The 22854-nt window shown below is 42.7% G+C and overlaps 1 pseudogene, besides 3 other annotated features; it reads right to left on the bottom strand.

Moving 5' to 3' along the window:
- On the bottom strand, positions 19631 to 21032 carry KRT18P59 (keratin 18 pseudogene 59; annotated as a pseudogene).
- Positions 21882 to 22794: an enhancer, noted in NCBI's record as "H3K27ac-H3K4me1 hESC enhancer chr11:124981662-124982574 (GRCh37/hg19 assembly coordinates)". NCBI's record gives its function as "activates a minimal SCP1, AML or CMV promoter by ChIP-STARR-seq in naive and primed H9 embryonic stem cells {active_cell/tissue: H9 hESC(naive and primed)}" and the evidence as "EXISTENCE:reporter gene assay evidence [ECO:0000049][PMID:30033119]".
- Positions 22340 to 22519: an enhancer, noted in NCBI's record as "active region_5695". NCBI's record gives its function as "activates an Ori minimal core promoter by ATAC-STARR-seq in GM12878 lymphoblastoid cells {active_cell/tissue: GM12878}" and the evidence as "EXISTENCE:reporter gene assay evidence [ECO:0000049][PMID:35858748]".
- Positions 22610 to 22679: a silencer, noted in NCBI's record as "silent region_4038". NCBI's record gives its function as "represses an Ori minimal core promoter by ATAC-STARR-seq in GM12878 lymphoblastoid cells {active_cell/tissue: GM12878}" and the evidence as "EXISTENCE:reporter gene assay evidence [ECO:0000049][PMID:35858748]".

The following is a 22854-nucleotide window of genomic DNA, read 5'->3' as shown; positions in this document are numbered from 1 at the left end:
GGTATGAAGGAATGTGATAGATCCATGTACAGCAACGTGGCTAGGGCTCCAAATCAGAGTTGGGAGGAAGGGGAAGTGAGAATAAATTTATAGCATGATACCAATTACGGAATTTTTTTAAAGACACAAAGCAGCAGTATACGTATCTCAAGAATAAACTTAAAGAAGGTGGATCAGAAGGACATTACAGTGGATGAGGTGGTGCTGACCCGCAGCCCTGCTTCAGGCCCATCCACCTGAGTCCTTGGCTGCTGAGAATATTTGTACTGAGGTGCACGGCAGTGTCCCTAAGGGGAATTGCTCGGCCATAAGGAACTGCTTCGCCTAAGGTTATGCTTCTCCTAGGGAAAGGCCAGTGGTCACTGGCTGATTCCAAGATATAAAACACTGATCCCCTTTGCTTCAGTGTGCAAAAGCAATGAAGGGCCCAGCTCAGCTGCAACCACAGGGGGATCCCCTTCCCCTCCAGTGCAATCTGACCTTCCTTATTTCCGTACAAGTGTATCTCCTGAGGGCACTCACAAATAAATCTGCATGTCACTCCCATCTCAGAACTTGATTCCAGAGAGCCCCATCTAAAAGACACATTAAATCATCAAGAGTGAGAGCCTTTAGTGGGGAAAGGAGAACAGAAATGGGATGGGGAAAATAAGAACTCGGGAAAACAAGAATTCAGAAAATTATCAACAATGATGACAACACACCATCAAATGAGGAGTATGATCAACTTCATTACGTGCCCCCAGAGTCTAAAATGTAAAATAAAAAGATGGGAAACATAACATCTGCCTGTGACCATATGCAAGGTGTCCCTCCCTTGTTCAATTTGTAGCTCAACGTTAGTTAATCTTCTGCCCACACGCCAGTGGTGATGAAGTAACAAACTTGGAAACAAGTGATGATCAAGGACTCATGCTTTTTGTCCTTGTAACTGGGGACATCTTCAAGAATCAGGGGATCGAGGGGGTGGTTCTCCTTTGGCCCTAGTCTATTCTTGCTGCAAGGAGCTGTGAGAGATGGTTCCATCCTGCCCAGCCAGGGAAGGAGGAAGCAAAAGGGTGTGGGGTATGTGTGGTGGGGTAGAGTGGTGTGTGTGTTGGGATGTGTGTGTGCAAGAAAGAGAGACAGAGACAGAGAACGTGTTTCCACCTCAGGCAGGGAACAGCCCAAGATTCAGCAGACAGAGATCCTGGTCTTGCTATTGGCTGCAGCGCCATAGGAGCAGGACTGGCACTTTCCGACACTTGTGGGGACCAGCTCCTCACATCTGGGGTGCAGCTTGTTCTGCCTCACAGAGCTGGACATCAGGCCCTGCCTTCCACACCCCCTGCATCCCGCCTCTCCCCTCTGCTCACTCTCAGGTGTCATGGGTTCCATATTCTTCTGTGATGGAGACATGTTCACTTTCTTGGGCCCTGACTCAGCCCATCTCCGCTCCACTGCCCCAACCCTACTTCCAGAGTCCTTCACCCTCTTCAGGGTTTCTGAGAGTCTCGGTGAACTCACACACCCAGGCACTGAAGAAGACGAGGCTGCGGAGAGAAGTCTAGTCCCTCCGGAGAGGCCGAGTGATCTATGGGAATGGCTCATCACAGGCTGGAGTGCCCACAATTCTCTCTCTCCTTAATTTAAAGAAATATAGAGGAGCATGTTTGAAGGAGCATAAAAAAATTATAATGCGAACTCACTGACTCACTCTTTCAACAAAAATGTATGGAGCTCCTGCTATGCAGCACATAAGGCAGGGGCTTCCGCAATACGTAAGACGATCTCTGGTCTCCAGGAGCTTGCAGCCTGCTAGAAAGGGAAGGCTTGCACACAATACCTACGATGAAAGTGTAGCGTGATGACAGCAATAAGAAGGTCACTCCCCAGATGCTTTGGGTGTCAGAGTAAGGAAATTCACTCCAGAGGGAAGAATCAAAGAAGGCTTCCAGGGCCCTACAGCTTTTGAAATGAATTGCAACTGAGAGCTAGTATTTGTTGTTGATTTTTAAGTTAATTTTATTATATTTGGGAAATACATTGACCAGCATAAAAAATAAGAGCATCAACAATTGTACTGCCTTTTAAAAAATATATAAAGTAAGATATCAGTATTCCCCTTCACCCATCCCATTCCATCCCTCAAAGTAACTACTGTAACAGTTTGGTATGTATCATCAGCCCTTGTCTTTTGATGGAAATGATTTTAGCAGGAAGAGATGAGAGGGGTATCCCAGGAGGAGAACAGGATGTAAACAAAGACAAGAAAAGGCAAGTTTTTGTCTGGAGTGCATGGCAAAAGTAGAAGATGAGAGATGATGTCATAATAGGAGGTTGGAGTCATATCACAGAAGGTCCTAAATGTAGGAGTGTGGTTATTTTGGACATTATCCAATTTGCAATGCCAGATAAAAAATGACTGAAGGAATTTGGGATTTTTTGCTAGAAGAAGAGAATATCCAGGGAGCACACAGTAGCATTAATTCAATTGTAAAACGTGCTATCATAAGGAAGAGAGATTCAAATTTTAATTTGAAGATCACAGGTCAAAATTTGGGTCAATAGTTGGAAGTTTCAAGAGTGGTATTTCAGTGCCATATAGGAAAGGACCTTCTAACAAACAGACCCGTGCAATAATAGAATGGGTGAGCCGGTGAGGAAGTAAGCTCTTCACTGGAATTGTCCAAACAGATTTACAAGAAAAAAACAACCCCATCAAAAAGTGGGTGAAGGATATGAACAGACACTTCTCAAAAGAAGACATTTATGCAGCCAACAGACACATGAAAAAATGCTCATCATCACTGGCCATCAGAGAAATGCAAATCAAAACCACAATGAGATACCATCTCACACCAGCTAGAATGGCGATCATTAAAAAGTCAGGAAACAACAGGTGCTGGAGAGGATGTGGAGAAATAGGAACATTTTTACACTGTTGGTGGGACTGTAAACTAGTTCAACCATTGTGGAAGACAGTGTGGCAATTTCCTCAAGGAACTAGAACTAGAAATACCATTTGACCCAGCCATCCCATTACTGGGTATATACCCAAAGGATTATAAATCATGCTGCTATAAAGACACATGTACATGTATGTTTACTGTGGCACTATTCACAATAGCAAAGACTTGGAACCAACCCAAATGTCCATCAGTGATAGACTGGATTAAGAAAATGTGGCACATATACACCATGAAATACTATGCAGCCATAAAAAAGGATGCATTCATGTCCTTTGTAGGGACATGGATGAAGCTGGAAACCATCATTCTCAGCAAACCATTGCAAGGACAAAAAACCAAACACCGCATGTTCTCACTCATAGGTGGGAATTGAACAATGAGAACACTTGGACACAGGAAGGGGAACATCACACACCGGGGCCTGTCGTGGGGTGGGGAGAGCGGGGAGGGATAGCATTAGGAGATATACCTAATGTAAATGACGAGTTAATGGGTGCAGCACACCAACATGGCACATGTATACATATGTAAGAAACCTGTGCATTGTGCACATGTACCCTAGAACTTAAAGTATAATAAAAATAAAAAAACTAAGCAAATGAACAAAGAACCAACTAAAAAAAAAAAAAGAAAACATACAAGAAAGGAAATGTAATCACGGTATACCACATGACTTAGTTATAGGCAGTATTTCCATAGTCACAATACTATGAATACTGAATACCAATTTGACCAAAAATTATAGAGTAACTAAATTAGGAGGATTGAGGGAGAAGCATATATATATATATATATATATATATATATATGTCTGTGTGTGTTATATGTTTATATATGTATGTATTTTATGTGTATATATGTATGTGTTATATGTGTATATATGTATTATAAGTGTATATATGTATGTATTATGTGTATATATTTATGTATATTTGTATATATGCATGTATTATATGTGTATATATGTATTACATGTGTATACATGTATGTTTTATAAGTATATATGTATTTATTATGTGTGTATATGTATGTGTTATATGCATATATGTATGTATTATGTGTTAATATAAGTATGTTATGTGTATTTATGTATTATATGAGTATGTATTATATGTGTATGTATTGCATGTGTATGTATGTATGTGTTATATGTGTATATATGTGTATGTGTTGTGTAGGTATATGTGCCTATATACGTGTTATATGCATATATGTGTATGTGTTGTATGTGTATAAATGTGTTACATGTTATATGCATATATGTGTTTCTTATATGTGCATATATATGTGTGTGTTGTGTGTGTTATGCGTGTATATATATGTGTTATGTGTGTATATATATATGTGTGTGTGTGTCATATGTGTTAGAGAGTTAAATTATCATCTTCCAGAGGAAGAAGGTAACAATAATGTCAAAGTTGGGGGGTGGAAATCAACAATTAGAAGCAGAATTTTCTTTTAGAAAATATGGAGTTAAATGCTGTAAGTAAAAATTAATTTTAAAAGGGTGATAAGGAGCCCTGGGTTAGGATAATGGCTGCCGGAGATGAAAATCAGGAGATGGAGTTCAGACATGCTCAGGAAGCTGGATTTGGGGGCTGATTACGTGGACAGCAAGGGAAAGGGAAGCATAAAACACACATAAACAAAAGAAATCACTCTATCGTTTTCAGCCTGTGTTTGAATAATGACAGTGGTTGGGGAAAAAAGCAAAGCTTGAGAATGTTAGAGGCTTGCACGGAAGATCTAGATAAAGGTCACCTCAGCAGTGCCCGGTGGCGGGGGCGCCCCTCTGCCCGCCCCTCTCCTGGGCCTCTGGGGTTCTGAAGTAGGGTATTCTGAGCGCAGCTGTCTGGCAAACAGAAACCAAGAGGCTTTTAAATGTATAGGATTCAGGCACCAAAGGAGGTCTTAGAAATCACTTACTTAAATTAAATCCTCCAACTTTCAGCTAACTAAATTGAATCCCAGAGAAATTAAAATCCTAGGGAAGAAACAGTTTCAACCAAAGGGTGCTCAACAGTGTTAAGAGCTTTAGAGACGGTGAAGAAGCGAAGACCAAGAAACGGCCGTCGGATTGCGCGGTTCGGTGATCATTGAGAAAGTAACCGTGCTGGGCAAGGGTGGAAAGCCAGTTAACGCAGAAGTCAAGATACCACGGGGGCTGAGGCGCCTGCACCTCCCTGACGACGCCTGCACATTGTAAGTGCTCCACAAAGACTAGCTGTTGTTGATGTCTAGTTTTCAGATAAACATGATGATTAAACGGAGGGAAAAAAAGGCTAGTAGCTTAATGAAGATAACTAAAGGTCTTAAAGGTGTTTGGGAAAAAAAAGTGGAAATGGTGTCTAAGCCAGATGACTAAGAAGCAGAGAAGCGCTGTAACTGACAGCGGGCGGCCAGCATGGCTGGGATGGACTTTAAGGAAAGATGTACGTGCGGTGATTCGTCTTGAAAAAGAGGGCAATTCTAGACTAAAGGAGAAGAGGAAGGGTTGGGTGACTATCTGGAAGAATTTTGAATGGTAAGAAAGGGATATTTTTAAAACCTAGATCAGATGACGTCTTTTTAAGGAAAACAGGAGACATAATTATCAACCGAAAGTGGGTTTCTGAAGGTGAGATTGCAAACTTGAAGAAGAAAGAAAATAGTGCATCTCAACCAGGGGTGATTTTGCCGCCTGCCCCCAAGAGATGTTTGGCAATGTCTGGAGACATGTCTGGTTGTCAGGAAGGGACATGGTATCTCGTAAGCAGAGGCCGGGGAGTCTACTAAACACCCTACAATTCAAAATACAGTAGAGCCTTCCCTTCCCCAGTTTTACTTTCCACAGTTTCCATTACCCACGGTCAACTGTGGTCCAGAAATATTAAGAGAAAAATTCCAAAAATAAACAATTCAAAAGTTTTAAATTGCCAGCTGTTCTGAGTAGCACGATGAAATCTTGCACCAACTCACTCCATCCTGCCAGGGATGTGAATCATCCTTTTTTTCAGTGTATCTAGCTGTATCTGCTGCTGCCCCATTACTCACTTAGTAGCCGTCTTAGTTAACAGATTGAAAAAACATAGTATATATAGGGGTTGGTACTGTCTGTGGCTTCAGGAATCCATTGGGGGTCTTGGACCATATCCTCTGCAACTAAGGGAGAGATCACCTGTACACAGAAAAACCCCCACAGCAAAGAAGTATTCTGCCCAACATGTTAATAGTGCCAAGGTTGAGAAACCATGCTTTAGATGAACAATTATTAAGGGAATTTCACTAAAAGTCAACAAGAAATAGGTACAATTTTCCAGCAGCTGTATAGCCTGTCCCTCAAGCTTAAATAGCGTAAATGTGTAGTCAATCTAATTGGGTTTTTTTTTTTAAGTTTTCTAGTTACACTAAGCAGAGAGAGCCTATATAAATAGAATGGTTCATTTTGAGGAGCTTTGCAAACATTTGCTATGGGTCAATCACTAAAGGTGTTAATATCTAACATTTACTTTCTTAAACTAACCTTTGAGGTAGGTAACTTTTTTCTAGTTTTCCAGATGAAGAAACAGAAACACAGAGAGGTAAAGTAAAATCACACAGCCAGTAAGGGGTAGAGCCAGGATTCCAACCGAAGCAGTTGGACAAGAGTACCTGTATTATTATTAGGATGCCTTGCTGCCTTTAAGGGACCTCTAAAAGTTGCTTCTATTTCTCATTTTGACACTCTTCAAATGACCTTCCCATTCTTGAGTGTTGTGTCCCAGCAGAGGCTTTTTTTGTTTTTTTTTTTTTTTGACAGTCTCGTACTGCACATATCTCCTCCCCTTCATACACAATATCCAGTCTTGATTTCAATAATCCATATCCTTGATGCTAAGGAGCAGGGAGGTGATCAAACTTGCCTTAAAGAAAAACTACAGTACTTGATCTATGACCTCTGAGACAACTAGTTTTAATGAAGATCATCAATCTAACCACTTAGAAATTCTGCAAATGCCCAGCCTGTTTTATGAACCAACGCATTACCCGTGTCCCTTTCTGAGATGGCAGAATAAGTGAATGCCCCTGAGCACTATTCATTCTATCCATAAAGGCCTTTTTGACTACTGATCCCTGATCATGTGCTCTGCTCAGCCTAGGTTTGGAATTACCAACCTCCTAGGATTGAGTTTATCAGGACTTTGCGGAGGTGCTGCTAAGGCACTACCTTTCATGTGCATCCGTCAAGGAGAACTCTGGGAATCCTGATGACTGGCCCATGATTCATGCTGTCAAGAGAAATGACTGAGAAACATACATGAATTAGACACCTTAATTCATCCACAGAATCTGCATGACTTTTGACCCAACTCTGGCACCCGACAGCAAGAGGGCTGTAGGCTTGTGATCTCTTGCCTGTGTGGTAGCTGGCTAAGGTAAAGCTGCTGGAATGGGAAATGGAGAAGCAAACCACTGACCTAAAGGACGTTAAGATGAGAAGCAACTGGGAGACTGCCAACGGACCAGGCTGCCCTGCAGAAAGAGCTTGCACCCTTGCTCTGGTCTCCTCGTTCCTCTCTTCAGCCTCTGGCAGCTCTGCCTCTAGGGTCAAGGGACTCACAGAAGTCCCCAGGGCTTTCATCTGCCAGCTCCCTCCTTTCTCTCCAATTCTTCTCATAGCTCCTTTATCTGCTGCTTATGTTCCCTGCTCCCCAGTGGACTTCTGCTCTGCTCCATCCTAGATGCCTTAGGTTCAATCTGCATCCACCAAGTTACCTGTTTCCTTGGATATTCACTCTTGGAAAGCCTTTCTTGATTACATATGGACATGTGAGAAAGACAGGACCAGGACTGGAGAACATTTTTATTCTAATTATGAACGTATTTGGTTTTATTTATTTTTTTTTTCCTGATCTTGAGTCTGGTTCTTGCTTAAGTACATAATTGATAGAGCTTACCCCTCAAATCATCTTTTATATTTCCCCAGTAATTTAAAGCTAATGATTTCCATCACTTTAACTACAGTAAAATCAAAGTTTTTGACATTAGCAGCTTTGGGAGATCCTCACCAATATTTGGGATTTTGAGGCTAGAGCACTATGAGGGAATTACATATCATCCAGGGCACGTGATCCAATTTACTGGTCTTACATCTCTTACCATTAGAAGAGTCTTGCTTTGTCTTACTTAAATGTACCATCCTCCTGGGCTGTCCATTCCATGAGGAATACAGATGTTCATCACAGCCCTCTCTGGAGACTCTCTCACAGCCCTTTAAAATAGTCCCTATCTCACCCTTCTCATACTGCAGTAAGGGGACCTGGGATGGGGAGTAAAATTCATTACCCCTTCTTATAGATGAGAAAACTAATGCCAAAGGGGAGAAGGGGCTGTATTAGAGTCATGAACTTGAGAGAAAAGGCCAAGAATAGAGCCCAGATGCTCTGATCCCCAAACCATTGTAGCTCCAACAAGAGAGCCTCCATTTTGGAGGCTCCAATGAGAACCTCCATGTTGGTCTCTTGACCATTGTCAAATGTCATTACCTCTCTGCAACCTACCTGCTCTGGTATCTCCATCAGTGAAGCTGGTGTTAGCTAGCAGGTTTAGTTTGAGTCTTTGATTCTAACTACTTGTTACCAGCCCTGCCTACATCCGTCTCTTAACCAAGAGACCAGCTTTCACTCAGCATCTCATGTTGGTTGATTTCTGAGAAGGATGTGGTACTCCTGTCTGAAGCTGCCCTGTATCCTGATTTCCTGCCAGGATGATCAAAATTGATTTCTACCAGGAGGATAATCCAGCCAGGGCTGTTCTGGGGCAGAAGACAGAGTTACCATGGGGCCACTATACTCTTTTTTAAGATTATTGGGGGCCAGGCATGGTGGCTCATGCCTGTAATCCCAGCACTTTGGGAGACAGAGGCAAGTGGATTGCTTGAGGCCAGGAGTTCAATAACAGCCTGGCCAACATGGCAAAATCCCCTCGCTACTAAAAATAGAAAAATTAGCTGGGTGTGGTGGTGCACATCTGTCATCCCAGCTACTCCAGAGGCTGAGGCATGAGAAACACCTGAATCTGGGAGGGGAATGTTGCAGTGAGCCAAGATTGTGCCATTGCACTCCAGCCTGGGCGACAGAGGGAGAATCAATCTCAAAAAAAAAAAAAGAAAGAAAGATTATTTGGTCTTTGGAACTAGTGATCTGCTCAAACAGAGACCCTTAGACTAATAAACTGATGAAGGGTAGAATGTCCGATGCACTTTGTTCCTTCTATGAGCTCCTTAAGGAGAAGAAAAATACATAGAAGTCTATCTGACCCACTGTTCCAGCAACCTGGAGAAGAGGTGTCATCTGCCATGTCAGTTTCTCATCTGGCTGTCATGCTGGGCTTCTTGGAACACTTCTGACCCCAAACAGGACCTAGAACAATGGATGCACATGGAAAGTGCCCAATAAATACTCGTCGACTTTAATGAAAAAGTAGTTTTAGCATTCTACAATATCTCTGTGGGATTCAGAGAACTCTTGCTCTGGTGTAGAGGCTAAAAGACACAGAAAAGGAACTAAAATGAGTTTGGCACTGAGACAGAGTAAAGAAGTGTCTATAGCCTGGCGTGGTGGCACATGCCTGTAGTCCCAGCTACCTGGGAGGCTGAGGCAGGAGAATCGCTTGAACCTGGGAGGCGGAGGTTGCAGTGAGCCGAGATCACGCCACTGCACTCTAGCCTGGGTGACAGTGCAAGACCCTGTCTCAAAAAAAAAAAAAAAAAAAAAGGAAGTGTCTAAACATGAGCTAGAGATCATGTCTTCCTGTAACATCCCAGATTATCCACATGCAGTGACTCAGGAGCTAATGTTGGCAGACAGAAGAGAATGAAAGCTTATTTCTAAGACTCTGAAATCAGTGGAAGTGCTCCATCTCTATGATCCAAGGAACACCCAGGCCTATTTCTGACAAAGAGAAAAAAGGAAATAAAAATTCTTGCTCAGGAAACTAAAAAATTTTTGCAGAACTGAAGAACTTGCTGTTTCATAGCTTTAGCTAAACACGTCTAGCTTGATTATCAAATATTAGAATTGGGAGAAACAAGCACTGATGCAAGTAAAAGAATATTCTGCTGCTGATTTAAAGACAAGTGAATCGCTAAATATTTTTATTAGCAGCAAATTTGCTGCTTGCTGGAACTAATTTCACGCCCTGTAGATATGGTGCTTAAGTTGGAAATGGCGTTAAATTGCTCTCTCCTTGAGGCGGGTAGGATTTCTGGTGGCAGCAGCCACTAGGTGGCACCGACAAGGTAGCTCCTCAAAGATAGGCAGCTTTGGAACCAATGATAGGAAAGTCCAGAGGAAGTCCTGCCTTACATTTCCCTTTCTCCTTCCAAAGAAAAGCCCGTGCTCCAGATAGCAAAATCTTTCAGAAAGGAAGTTGCCTAGAAAGGAACATTACTCCTAAGGGTCTTGAATTTCCCAGTTCAGTCTTTTCTCTAAGTTCGTATAACACTTTCAGTTAGCACGTCCAATTTGGCAATCAGTTAGAATTTATAATTTCTTGCATGTTAGCACTATCTCTTCAACCACACCACAGCTTCTAGAAAGGACAGGTTACATTTTATTGCCAGTACTGGAGCCCAGGTGAGCAAACAGTGTGTATAACTTGCGGGCTGGGGAGCTAGACTAGAAGAACTGAGGCAGAGACAGCAACACAAAGGATGAGACCAGGTTAGATCCAAGGCAGGACAGAATGCAGAGGTCACAGCACAATTGGGCAACTGAAATCAGGTGGGAATTCCAAAGCAGAAGCAAATCCAGGACTGAGGTCAAGGAATTGCCGTGGCTCAGAATCCAGTAAGTGAGCCAAAGTCAGAGGACACGTTAAATAATAAAGGTCAGAGCAAGCTGTGGGTGGACAAATAAATCAAGGGAATGCAGAACCCAGATGCCTAAGGGAAAAATAAAGCCAAGAGGCCAACAGGTCAAAGTGAAAGTCAGGAAAAACATAATAGCAGGGCAAAACACACACAAAAAGTTTGACGTACTCGTTAATCAGATGTTTAGTGGTCAATTCATGCTAGAACCAAAGTGGATTCATTAAGAATAAGTTTTGCTAAATTGAACTTATTTCCTTGTGCAATAGAGTTATGAAGTTGATCAATCTGATTGTGTTATTTACTCTCCTGCTTAAATACTTCTGACTTAGCTAAACCCTTCACCTACAGAATAAAGCCAAAATTCCTTATCATAGCATTCAAGACCCTTCACACACTTTTCAGCTCTTGACACTCATTTCCCTGAACCTGGTCCTTAACTCACACTAGAATATTTGCTATTTCTGAATCATGCCAAAGACATTCACTTTTCTATGCTTTGCTTCTCCTATTTCTCCACTCTGGAATTTCTTCCTATCTCCATTCTCTACTTATCTCACAAAAACCCTATGTATTTTCTTTTCTTTCCCTTTCTTTTTTTTTTTTTTTTTGAGACAGGGTCTCATCCTGTCACCCAGGCTGGAGTGCAGTGGTGTGATCTCAGCTCACTGCAACCTCTGCCTCCTGGGTTCAAGCGATTATCATACTTCAGCCTCTGAGTAGCTGGGATTATAGGCACATGCCACCATACCTGGCTCATTGTTTTGTGTTTTTAGTAGAGACAGGGTTTCACTATGTTTGCCAGGCTGGTCTTGAACTCTTGACCTCAAATGATCCACCTGCCTCCCAAAGTGCTGGGATTACAGTCATGAGCCACCATGCCCGGCCTAAAAAAAACTCTGTATTTTCAAGGCTCAGTCAAATGTCACTTTTTTGTGTGAAGCCCTCCTTTCTCTTTCTGCACAATGAAGAATTAATCTCCTTTTTCTCTAGGTTTTCAATATACTTTGTTTATACTGCTACTGTATAATATAATACATATGAGATGATACATTATCTATTATATTGTATATTTCTATCTATCATCTATATCTATCCCTTTAATGCAAATTAGAGGTAACACATACATTAACTATACCTGTATTAATTTGGATCTGGTGTTTATATGTCTGTCGCCTCTGCTAGATGTCATCTCTTTAAGACAAAACTAATATCTTGGTCATTTTTGTTTCCACAACACCTAACAAAGAACCTAGAAGATAGGAGACCAACCAATATATGTTTATTGATGTGAATGAGAGGAAATACCAAATATGATGTAACTTCATTTAAACAGAATATTTAATAAATCTCTCAGGATTTCAACAGAATGTTTAATAAATCTTCAACATTGTGAATAATGTTGTACAGTGCGTCATTAGGAAAACTGAAGCTGCCTGAACACATACTGGGAGGAGGTCTCCAATGCTACCAAGTTCTATCCAAGGCAGCATTTTTATTAGTGACTTGGATTAAAACATACAAAGAATTTTTATCAGATGTGAAATGAGACATACTGATATCATAGGAAAGAAAAATAAGACTTTAAAGATGAGTCTAACTGCCTCAAATGTTGGGCTCCAACTGACAAGGTAAAATTTAAATAAGTGTAAAGGCCTACATGTAAATTTAAAAAATAAATTGCACATACCAAGTATGGTGGAGATTTGACATGGCAGCAACTAATGTGCAGAAGAGTTAGATGCTTTGGTTAATCAAAAGCTTTAAAAGCAGTGAGATGTGACCAGTAACAATCTAAGGACATTGGAATCACTAATGGTCATAGGCGTCCAGCTCAGAAGAAGCATCGTAGTAGCATCACTGCACTTCCTGCCTTTCAGGGCCGATTTAAAGTATTATGAGCAATTCTACCACAAGATTCTAGAAGATACATTAATAAAGCACAGTTCATCCAGAAAACTGTGACTAGAATGGTAAAGGAGTCTAGAAACCATGAAATAGACAAAGAATGAGGGAGCTCTGTGGAAACCTGGACACTTGAAAAACTGAAAACTAAGGGAAGGTTTGAGAGGCGTCTTCATGTATTTTTAAATGGCCTTTTATGTGTTGCTACAAATGGTAAAACTAGACAGGAAGAGTAGGAATTGTGAGGAGACAGAGTTTGGCTCAGTGTAAGAAAGAACTTTCTAAAATTTCTGGTCATCCAACAGTGAAGTGGGCAGCTTTGGGGGGTTGGGAGCTCCCCAGCCTTGAACATGCTCAAGCAGAGGTCAAAGACTAGATAAGCGATTCAAGGAAAAAGAGGTTTTTTGTTGTTTTGTTTTGTTTTATGAAGCATAAATACCCTCCTTTGTAAAATCTTTCAGTGGCTCAACAGAATCTGCAGGATAGTGTCTAAATTCCTTATCATGTCATTTAAGCTGTTGTGATCCAGATCCCAACGACCTCCTGCCTGATCATCTGCCTCTACTGCCTCCCCTGCTTTCAGCCCCAGTACACCCCATACCAAACACATTCCACGCTGCTTGCCCAGCACCTGTTCTGCCATGCTCTCTCACACCACTCAGTGTTGGCACATGCTATTTCTTGTGCCTGGAACCTTTTCCCACTTGCTCACTTTGGCTAATATGCATTCATCCAGAGAGGCTGTGTCACCTTGGAAATGTCACCTTGGAAGCCATCCCCAAGCCCTCTAGTTTCCTCCTTGTACCTAGGAAGCACCCTCAATTTGCTACCTCTTGGTTTTTCTTGTTTGCGTCACACAGTGGAATGTGAACAATGTGAAGAAAGGGGCTGTGTCTTATCTCCCTATCCCCCATTTCTAGATTCTGCCTGATGGATGGGAGAATGCTCAGCTTTTGAAGTGAATTGCATCAGGCCTTTATTCCTTAGGTCAAAACATGACCAAGGGATCAGGCAGAATCTGGAGTCTACCCAGTGGGCAATGACCTTCAGAAATAGAGGGTGTGGGAAATTTTGACCAGTTGAAGGCATGGCGATCCCTCTCAACCATGTACCACCTAAAGTACTGCACACTGGGCTTCCTTTTTTCTTTAGGGGGTTTGGCTTCATTCTCTTCATTGCTCAAGTCTCCTGCCCTTTGTCACTCCCCTCCTTTCTTCTCCCTGTCCCCTGCTTACATGCTGGCTAATGCCCCTTGACTGTCTCAACCTGGGGGCCTCACTGGCTATGTAATCAAAGCAGTGAGTCCATGTATCATCATTTATTAATTTAAATCACATCTACTGCCTTCAGGGTCTCTGAGTTTTTGTAGCAAACTCATAATGTCAATATTTTCCATTGAGAATTGTTTGGCATGATGCCACAGAGGTTAGCAAAACAGGGTTCTGGGGCAGAAAGTCCCAGAACTGAAATCTTCAAGGCTTCTTCTCTTCCTTATGGACAGTGCCACTCACCAAAAAAAAAAAGAAAAGAAAGAAAAAGTGGAATATTTGTGAGACTACACTCCCAAGCTGGGCCACACCTAGGTATTTGTGAGCTTCTGCAAATATTCTATTCCTAATCCGGATTTAGCTCTTAGATCTCCATCCCAATTATTTGGCCTTTCAGTCCTAGAATACAGCACTGATCTGTAAAAAAGCTTTTCAATTTGAGCAGCTGAGAGCTCAAATAAGATTTGTCCCCATATTTTAAAATCTCTCAGTTCTGAGTCTGGCCATGTCCTCTTACTCACAACTCAAGAACAGTGGTCACACTACTCACAGCTTCAGCTTGACCTTGTTCTGAAATACCTTTCTGTGGGATAGAACAGATAGACAGTGGTCATTGGTGTGAACCCACCTGAATGGGAATACTTTCCAGCTGCACAGTGAACTTCAAATTTCATAAGGAAGTGCGGGCTCAGCCTTGTCACGGGCTGTAACGATGCCTCAAGACATCTGCTGATACAGGAACCCTGTGGTTCTTCTAATACTCTTACACTTTCCCATAAAGTATCATGAGTTTCCTAACCCCCACCACCAAATGTTTCTCTACAGGCTCCAGCCGAGTTTGCAATATAGATCCCCCTAACTGTTGCCTGGTATTTTGCCTCTGAGGCATAGGTCCTCTCCTTTGCAAGAGCCAAAGGGATCAGAACCCACAGAATCTTCCTCTGGCCAGCCAGTTGATATCTGCTCCCTAGAAAAGATGCTCAGATGGTAAACCCAGCGGCTGGGCAGGGCCAATGGGGACAGATTCTCTCTTTTGATGTTTGATGGCTTTATATCCTCCTCCTATTGTATATAACAAAGGGACATTAACCCCAGATTATCATCACCCTTGGCACTCTCCAGGAAAGGATGTCATTTTACAGATAACAGAGAAATCCTGCCTGCCCTCCAGAGAACTGAAATGAGCCTTCCCATTCCACATGGTGGGGAGGAATCATCCAAGGGCTTGGTATTGTGGGAATTAGGCCCCCCTGACCATAGACTGCATTAACTGTTATTGGGCTTTACATTTTCTTTTTGGTTTTTGGTAAGTCTGATCTTGTCACACCATTGCTCAAAACTCCTTCAACTTCCCATCTTACTCAGAAGAAAGTTCAAGCTCCCTCAGTGGCCCACAGGGCCCTCTATGGAGATCCTCCCCCAACTTTGCAGTTCTTGGAGTACACCCAGTGCCTGCCTGTCTCAGGGCCTCTTATGCCTGCTCAACCCTTAGGTCTTCCCCCAATAGCTACGAGCTCACTCACTTCCTTCAGGTCACTGCTAAGATGTCACCTTATCAGAGAGGTCTGCCTTGACCACCTTATGTAAAATGGTGCCCTCTCACCCTACATGCCCCTTCATCACTCTTTGTTCTTTTTCCTCACTTTACTTCTTCATAGCACTGAAAACCAGCAGATAGCTGACACATTTATTTGTTGATTATCTGGCTTCTCCCACTAGAATGTGAGTTCCATGAGAGCAGGACTTGGTTTTGTTCATTCTTTATCCCCATTTTCCAGAACAATTCAAAGCACACAGTAACACTTAATAAATATTTGTCAAATGAATGGACACACAATGAATGAAGGGCCTTCCTCTTATGCATCCATACTAATGCACATACTGTTACTTGCCTGGTGCCTGGCCAAGAAATATGGCCCACTGACCTCCATTATGCTGTCAGGAAAACAGAGGACTAAAAATTGAACCTAAAATTCACATAAAGTAGCTACTCTCCCATTTACCAGAACTCCAGCTTTTCAAATGATGCCAAGCTTAAAGTTCAGCTCCCTCTCTGTCCATCAGTCTTTTCCTACTCTTTAGCTTAAGAAACAGACCTTAGGGCCGGGTGCATTGGCTTGCGCCTGTAATCCCAGCACTTTGGGAGGCCGAGGTGGGTGGAACACCTGAGGTCAGGAGTTCGAGAACAGCCTGGCCAACATGGTAAAACCCCGTCTCTACTAAAAATACAAAAATTAGCCAGGCATGGTGGTGCGTGCCTGTAATCCCAGCTACTTGGGAGGCTGAGGCAGGAGAATGTCTTAAACCCAGGAGGCACAGGTTGCAGTGAGCTGAGATCATGCCACTGCACTCCAGCCTGGGTCACAGAGCAAGACTCCATCTCAAAATAAATAAATAAATAAATAAATAAATAAATAAATAAATAAAAGAAAAAAAGAAATAGACCTTAGAACTCTTTCCCACAGTGAGACACCTTCTCAGCTACACAATAAGCCAAATGAACCCAATCCTCTGGCCGCTGAGCACCCTAAAACATGTAATTCGGCACTTCATAATGTTAAGGCAAACCAAGCTCCTCGTCTGAAACAGCCCTTTCAGAGAATAGACAAAATATCTGGCACTCAGATGTTGAGCCAAAAGGTTGAATTTTCTCTGAAAACCATTCTGATTTCTCTGAAAACCATTCAAGAACTGGCAAGTAATTCAGAAATTAAAAGTCTGTTACTTGTCTTATCCATCTCTGAGTCCCACCAAAGAGAGAATCCTCCCCCTTCTCCAACACCAGAGGGGGGCAAAGGCTTTTCAGAAAGTACAATACTGCATTAAAACTGAAGGAAGCTTTCCAGGTTTGCTTTCCGTTCTATTGTCTTATTCTGTCAGCTCCCACATCTCCCAAAATCCAGGCTTAATAATTTACAGCGGAAAGACATTTAATAAATAAGCGGCAAGATTGGAGCTGTCAGCTCCACACAATGGGGTTGTTTGCATCTTCCTGCTTGGCATCAGCTCCTGCTCTCCCGCTTGCTTCAATGAAACAATCCCATTTGCTATTTTCATAAAATTAGTTCCTCTACAGTTTCTATTAATCAGAACCTTCTTTGGAAAGAATTATACTGAGATTTCATCACCATCTGAGTTCAATCATTCTGTGAATCTGATGAATTTTTATCATCTCTATATGTGGCAGAAAAGGTAAGGCTTGGAAGGGCTGATGTAAGTGGGTGGAGAGCTCTCCCCTCATATTGGGTGAGGTCCAACAGTCCTGGGAACCTGGATCGATCTCCACCACCACACATCTGGGCGGTTTTCTCCTCAAAATATATCTCCTTTACATCTATAGTTTCAAATCTTATTTGGGTCATGGACTCTTTTACAGATCTTATGTAAGCTATGAATACTCTCCCTGGAAAAGCCCATATATGCTCATGTACACTACACACACAATTTAGGACACTCCCTCTCCTCTCCACATATATGGCCCATTGTGGATTCCAGCGTCAAAACTAGGTGCTCTCTGTTTTTGTAACCATCCTCACTTCCTTTAAGAACTTTAGGCTGGAATAGAAATTCAGTCACCTCCAAAATCCTTTATAGAAGGAGAAAGAGAAAAAATTTTTGAAAGAGAGAAAGAGCATAAAAGTGAGAAAGTTTCTTTATGATGGCCATATACTTTCTGAGAAGTAAGAAAAATGGAAAACAGAAGGCAGTTCAAATGGGCTGAAATAAATAATGAAAGCCCAAGGATTCATAAATTGATGCATGCCGCACTGCAGTTGTGGAATGAGACATGAGATCAAAACTTGGAAAAATTTTGATGAATTCTCCTTGCTTCCAGCCTATGTAACACCTATCCCATCATAAGATAAACTCTACATGAGGAAAAACGCAGTCTGGAGGAAAAAAAACTGGGACCAGGGTAACTGGGGTTCTAGTATTAATACCACCTCCGTCTACTGACTACGTGGTTTTAGGCAAGAGGTAACATAGCTCTATCAGTGTGAGATCTTTAAATTAACACTAAATGATTTCCAAAGTTTGTTTCAATTCCAACAGTTTATCAGACATGATTCATTAGGAATCTCTAAGGTAGTAAGAATTAAAACCTTTACTTAAAGGGCCTAATAGTAAATATTTTAGGCTATGGGCCATATAGTCTTTGTGGTAACTACTCAATTCTGCTGTTATAAAGCAAAAGGAGACATAAACAACACATAAACAAATGAGCATGCCTGGGTTCCAGTCAAATTTTACTTATGGAAATCAAAATTTAAATTTGATATCATTTTCATATGTCACAAAGTGTTTTTCTTCTTTTGTTTTTTTTCAGGCATTTAAAAAGGTAAATATCATTCTTAGCTTGCAGAATGTACAAGCTAAGATTAAGCCCACAGGCCATATAGTTTGGCAACCATTGGTCTATAACATCAGATGAATATTATGATCCAGAAAATCATGGTGATAATTCTGGGTGGCCTTGGAAGGTCAGTAATTTGGCTTCAACTACTGACAACAGTCGTTGAAGATATTTTTGTTTACTTGGTTTCTGAATTAGCAAAATTGAGAATTAGCAAAATTAGTAGTTTTTGAGCCTCAGCCAATGACCAACAATTACTTCAGTTTTTGCTATATTTTCAGACCTGTAGAAATGCTAATGTAATCACACAAGAGATTGTGTACAAAAAATTCAGGGCTCACTGGCAGAAAAAGTTTTGATAACTATAAAATGAGCAAGAAAACTTTATATCTTCTCTTGAAATCACTCCATGCCCTTGCTAACCTAGTGGCCTCTTCGTACTCTTCCCCTCTACTAGGCAGCATAACGAGTGATTTTACACATTTGAGGAGGAAATGAAACACTGGTTTTTGTCATTATTGCTTTGAATTTTGTTTGTCTATGACAGAAGAAAATAAGTTAACAAAATGGCATGCATTCATATATGGCACCTATGTGCATTATACAAGTATAGTATGAGGAATACATACACAGTAGAGATGTGGAGCAATGCGTAGAGGTGCTGTATAACATGGCATGGGGAAGACTTTTTTTTTTTTTTTTTTCAGATGGAGTTTCACTCTGTTGCCCAGGCTAGAGTGCAGTGGCGCCATCGTGGCTCACTGCAACCTCCGCTTCCTGGGTTCAAGAGATTCTCCTGCCTCGGCCTCCCCAGTAGCTGGGAATACAGGTGTGCACCACCACATCTGGCTAATTTTTGTATTTTTAGTAGAGACGGGGTTTCACCATGTTGGCCAGGCTGGTCTCAAACTCCTGACCTCAGGTGATCCCGCCTCGGCCTCCCAAAGTGCTGGGATTACAGGCGTGAGCCACCATGCCCGGCCAGGGAAGGCAATTTTTTAAAAGAGAAAAATTAGATGATCAAATAATCAGTCTTTTTTAGAGTGAGGGACACAGTTTTGATTCTGAGACAGCAAAGATGAAGCACTATGATGACGGCACTTCTCTCAATCTCATTGAGAGGATATGATATCATTTAATCAGAAAACTATTAATAACACCCTGCTCCTAGTTAAGGGGTGCATTTGGGGAGTACTTGGGAGGTGGATCCCCTCTTAAGAGAGAGAAAACCTAATAATGTTATATCCATTCAGGAAGACGTAAAAAACTTTGGAGTACTTCCTCATTCATGTCCGTTCTTTTACTTACCAATTTATTTTTGACATCCAATGACTTCTGAACTTTTTATTGGCTTCCTGCTCCCCAAAGTGTACCCTGCTTCTGCTGGCTCAGCGCCTCAGAACTTTGGTGTTGTTGATCTCAGACACCACTTTGTCATCCGCTATCCTGGACAGTCTTTTGGATGGTTTGCATAGAGTTGCTGTTGTCCAGGGCATCGCCACAATTGAAGTCCTCCCCATCTTCCAGCAGGCGGCAGTAGTAGTAGTAGCGGCAATCTCAGCCTCCCGCTTGACCTTGATGTTCAGCAGGGCCTCATACTTCTGGGCCTGGTGCTGCCCTTCTGCCTGGGCCTGTGCCAGCTCTGAATCTAGGTGCAGCACGGCCCCACTGAGCTGCTCCATTTGCATGGCATAGCGGGCCTCCACCCACCTCAGGCTGTTCTCCAGGCTGGCCTTCAGATTTCTCATTGAGTCTAGGTTGATCTCTTAGGACTGAACTATACATCTCAGCTCCATGAATGTTGTCTCAGCAGCTCCTATTTTGGTGGACTGCGTGGTGACCACTGTGGTGTGTTCCTCAGTCTTCTGGGACCAGTACTTGTCCAGCTCTTCTCAGTTCTTCTGGGCCAGCTCATCATACTGGGCCGGGAGGTCTGCCATGATGTTGCTGAGGTCCTGAGATTTGGGGGCATTTACCTCCATGGTCAACTCAGAGCTGGCAATCAGGGCTTGTAGACCTTTTACTTCCTTCTCTTGGTTCTTCTTCATGAAGAGCAGCTCCTCCTTGAGAGCCTCCATCTCTGTCTCCAGCTGTAGCCGAGTGACATTGGTGTCATCAGTGACCTTGTGGAGCCCACGGACGTTGCTCTCCACAGACAGGCACATGACCAGCTCCGTCTTATACTTGACTCTAAAGTCATCAGCAGCAAGACGGGCATTGTCAATCTGTAGAACAACACAAGCATTGTCCACAGAATTTGCAAAGATATGAGCCCTCAAGTCCTTGATGGTCATGAAGTAATGCCCCCAGGCTCTGACCTGGGGTCTCTTCTTCTCCAAGTGCTCTCAGATTTTGCTCACCAGCCTCTGACTCTTGGTCACCAGAGTCCTCACTCTGTCCAGGTAGGAAATCCAGGCAATCATTCAGGCCTTGCATGGTATCCTTCTCATTCTGGATGTACCCCATTCCTTCCAGACCCCTGGCATCCCTGCAGCCAGGCCTCCAGACCCCCAGCCACTCCAGAAGCTGGTGGAGAAGGACACTGAGGTCCGGGAGCCCAAGCCCCTGAGGACTGCATAGACTTTGGCTGTGCTGCTGATGAACTGGACGCTGTGGCTGTGTGGCTGGATGGAATGCAGGGACTGGTAGTTGGTGGAGGTGGTAAAGCAAATGGTGAAGCTCATGCTGCCTAAGGAGAAAAGCGAGAGGACAGGACTCAAGTTCTGTTGAGCCATGCCCATTTTTAATTTATAGCTTAACTGAAGCCAGTATGATCATTAGAAGTGTAAGGAAGTTAACTTTTCCAATCTCAAACTTTGAACTTTTGACCACTTTCCTCCAAAATATTAAGGTCTCAGAGCCAGTTCTGACCAGCTTGTCTACACATTACTTTCCATCATTTGTCTCCATATTATTCTCCAGATACTCAGTGCTCATTCTTGCCTTGGCCTCTTTGCTCAAACTACTTTCTCCTCCTGGATTCTGTTCCACCTTTCCTGTTCCTACTCATATGCTAGGACCCAGCATTAGTTCTAGCTCTATGATAAAGACACACACATTAATTCCAGCCATAACAAAATATCCCCCAAATAATACAAGGGAAGAAGTGCTCTGGAAACTACGAAATGTTCTGCAAATATGAAGTATTATTATATTTTGGAGAAATTAATTGTACAATAGGGTTGGCCCATTGTTATATCTTGCTTTAAAGTGTTTCCTACTTGTTTCATGTGTTGTTGACCTAACATTACAAAACCACGGGCTATTAAGATGGGAGTCACATCTCATTTCTTGTATATCTTCGCAGTTCCTAACAGAACATAGCTGCAGTCAACACTCAGTTCCAGTGAAATGAATTCATCAAAATAAAGGATTTCTTAGCCACAGAGCTTCTCACTGGGCCAAGTAATGTTAAGTTGCTAAACGCACAACAAATCATTGGTTACTTTATGTGATTGTAAATGAAGCCTCGAAAGTTGAATAAATTTGAGACGTGCAGTTGATGAAATTCAAGCATCTTCTTCTTTTTGGTTCATAAAGCTGTGATTCAGGAGAATTCCTTAAATCAGAGATTCAGTGCTCTAAGATTGAATAGGTTGCTTCATGATATTTCTTAAAATTTTGTTTAAGGTCAAAGGTTCAAACGGTGCAGCTCTCCAATTTGGTATTGATTATTGTTTGTTTCCCCTTCTTGATTCAGTGGTGGAGCACGCAGCCTCTGTCCTACTTCCTTTGGTTGTCCTGATTGATGCATCTTTTGGTCTAACAGGCCATAGCCTCAAAGCAAAGTCATGGCAAGCTTTAGTTGGCAGTTAGGTAACAGCAGTCTGCCAATAGCGTGGGCCAGCTCCAGTTCCAGCAGCCTGGCGGCAGAGGGTTTACTTGATGGACCCTGGGCCTCTTCCCCAGTCTGTCCCGTGGGTAGAATGATCTTTGCCTTTGTCTGTTTCGCAAGGCTAATGGAAGAATTAAATACCAAATAAAACAAGTCGAGATAAAGATAAATGAAGCGTGCCGTTATTACAACTGGTGCTTCGTCCTCAGTTCCCTCCAGGAGGGTTGTTGGGGACACTTAATGACCGGGCCTGAGCTGACTTGTCCACCACATCTTGCGCCCCACTCGAGCTAGTGGGTTGGGGATTGAGATGTTCATCAGGCCCCGGAAAAGGCATTGATGTCTAGATGACTGTGCAGTTCTCTGGAGTTCGAGATCTGAGCTGCCTGGCCCTGCTGCTTCGCTGCCTGGATGGGCAATCTCTATGGTGACAGCGAGTGAGGCCGGAAGAAGTCTCTCTCTTCCGCCCAACAACCCGCCCTCAGGCTAGACTGACCAATGGCCCAATGAGTTACGGAGAGATGGTGTGATTGACAGTGGAGTGGCGGGGGGGCGGGGAGTGCAGCTCGGACCGCTGCTACCCAACCGAACTGAGGTCGGTCCAAAGGCTGACAGGCACCGACCAATCGGAGGGCGTAACGAAGGGTGACGAGCCAACCCACCGCGCTCGGCGTTGCCGGGAGCCGCGCTAGGCGTAAGCTAATGAGGAAGAA

This window comes from Homo sapiens, chromosome 11 (assembly GCF_000001405.40).
Source record: "Homo sapiens chromosome 11, GRCh38.p14 Primary Assembly".
Classification (NCBI taxonomy): domain Eukaryota; kingdom Metazoa; phylum Chordata; class Mammalia; order Primates; family Hominidae; genus Homo; species Homo sapiens.
Note: the sequence above shows the minus strand (reverse complement) of the source record. Positions and strands in the feature narration are given on the sequence as shown.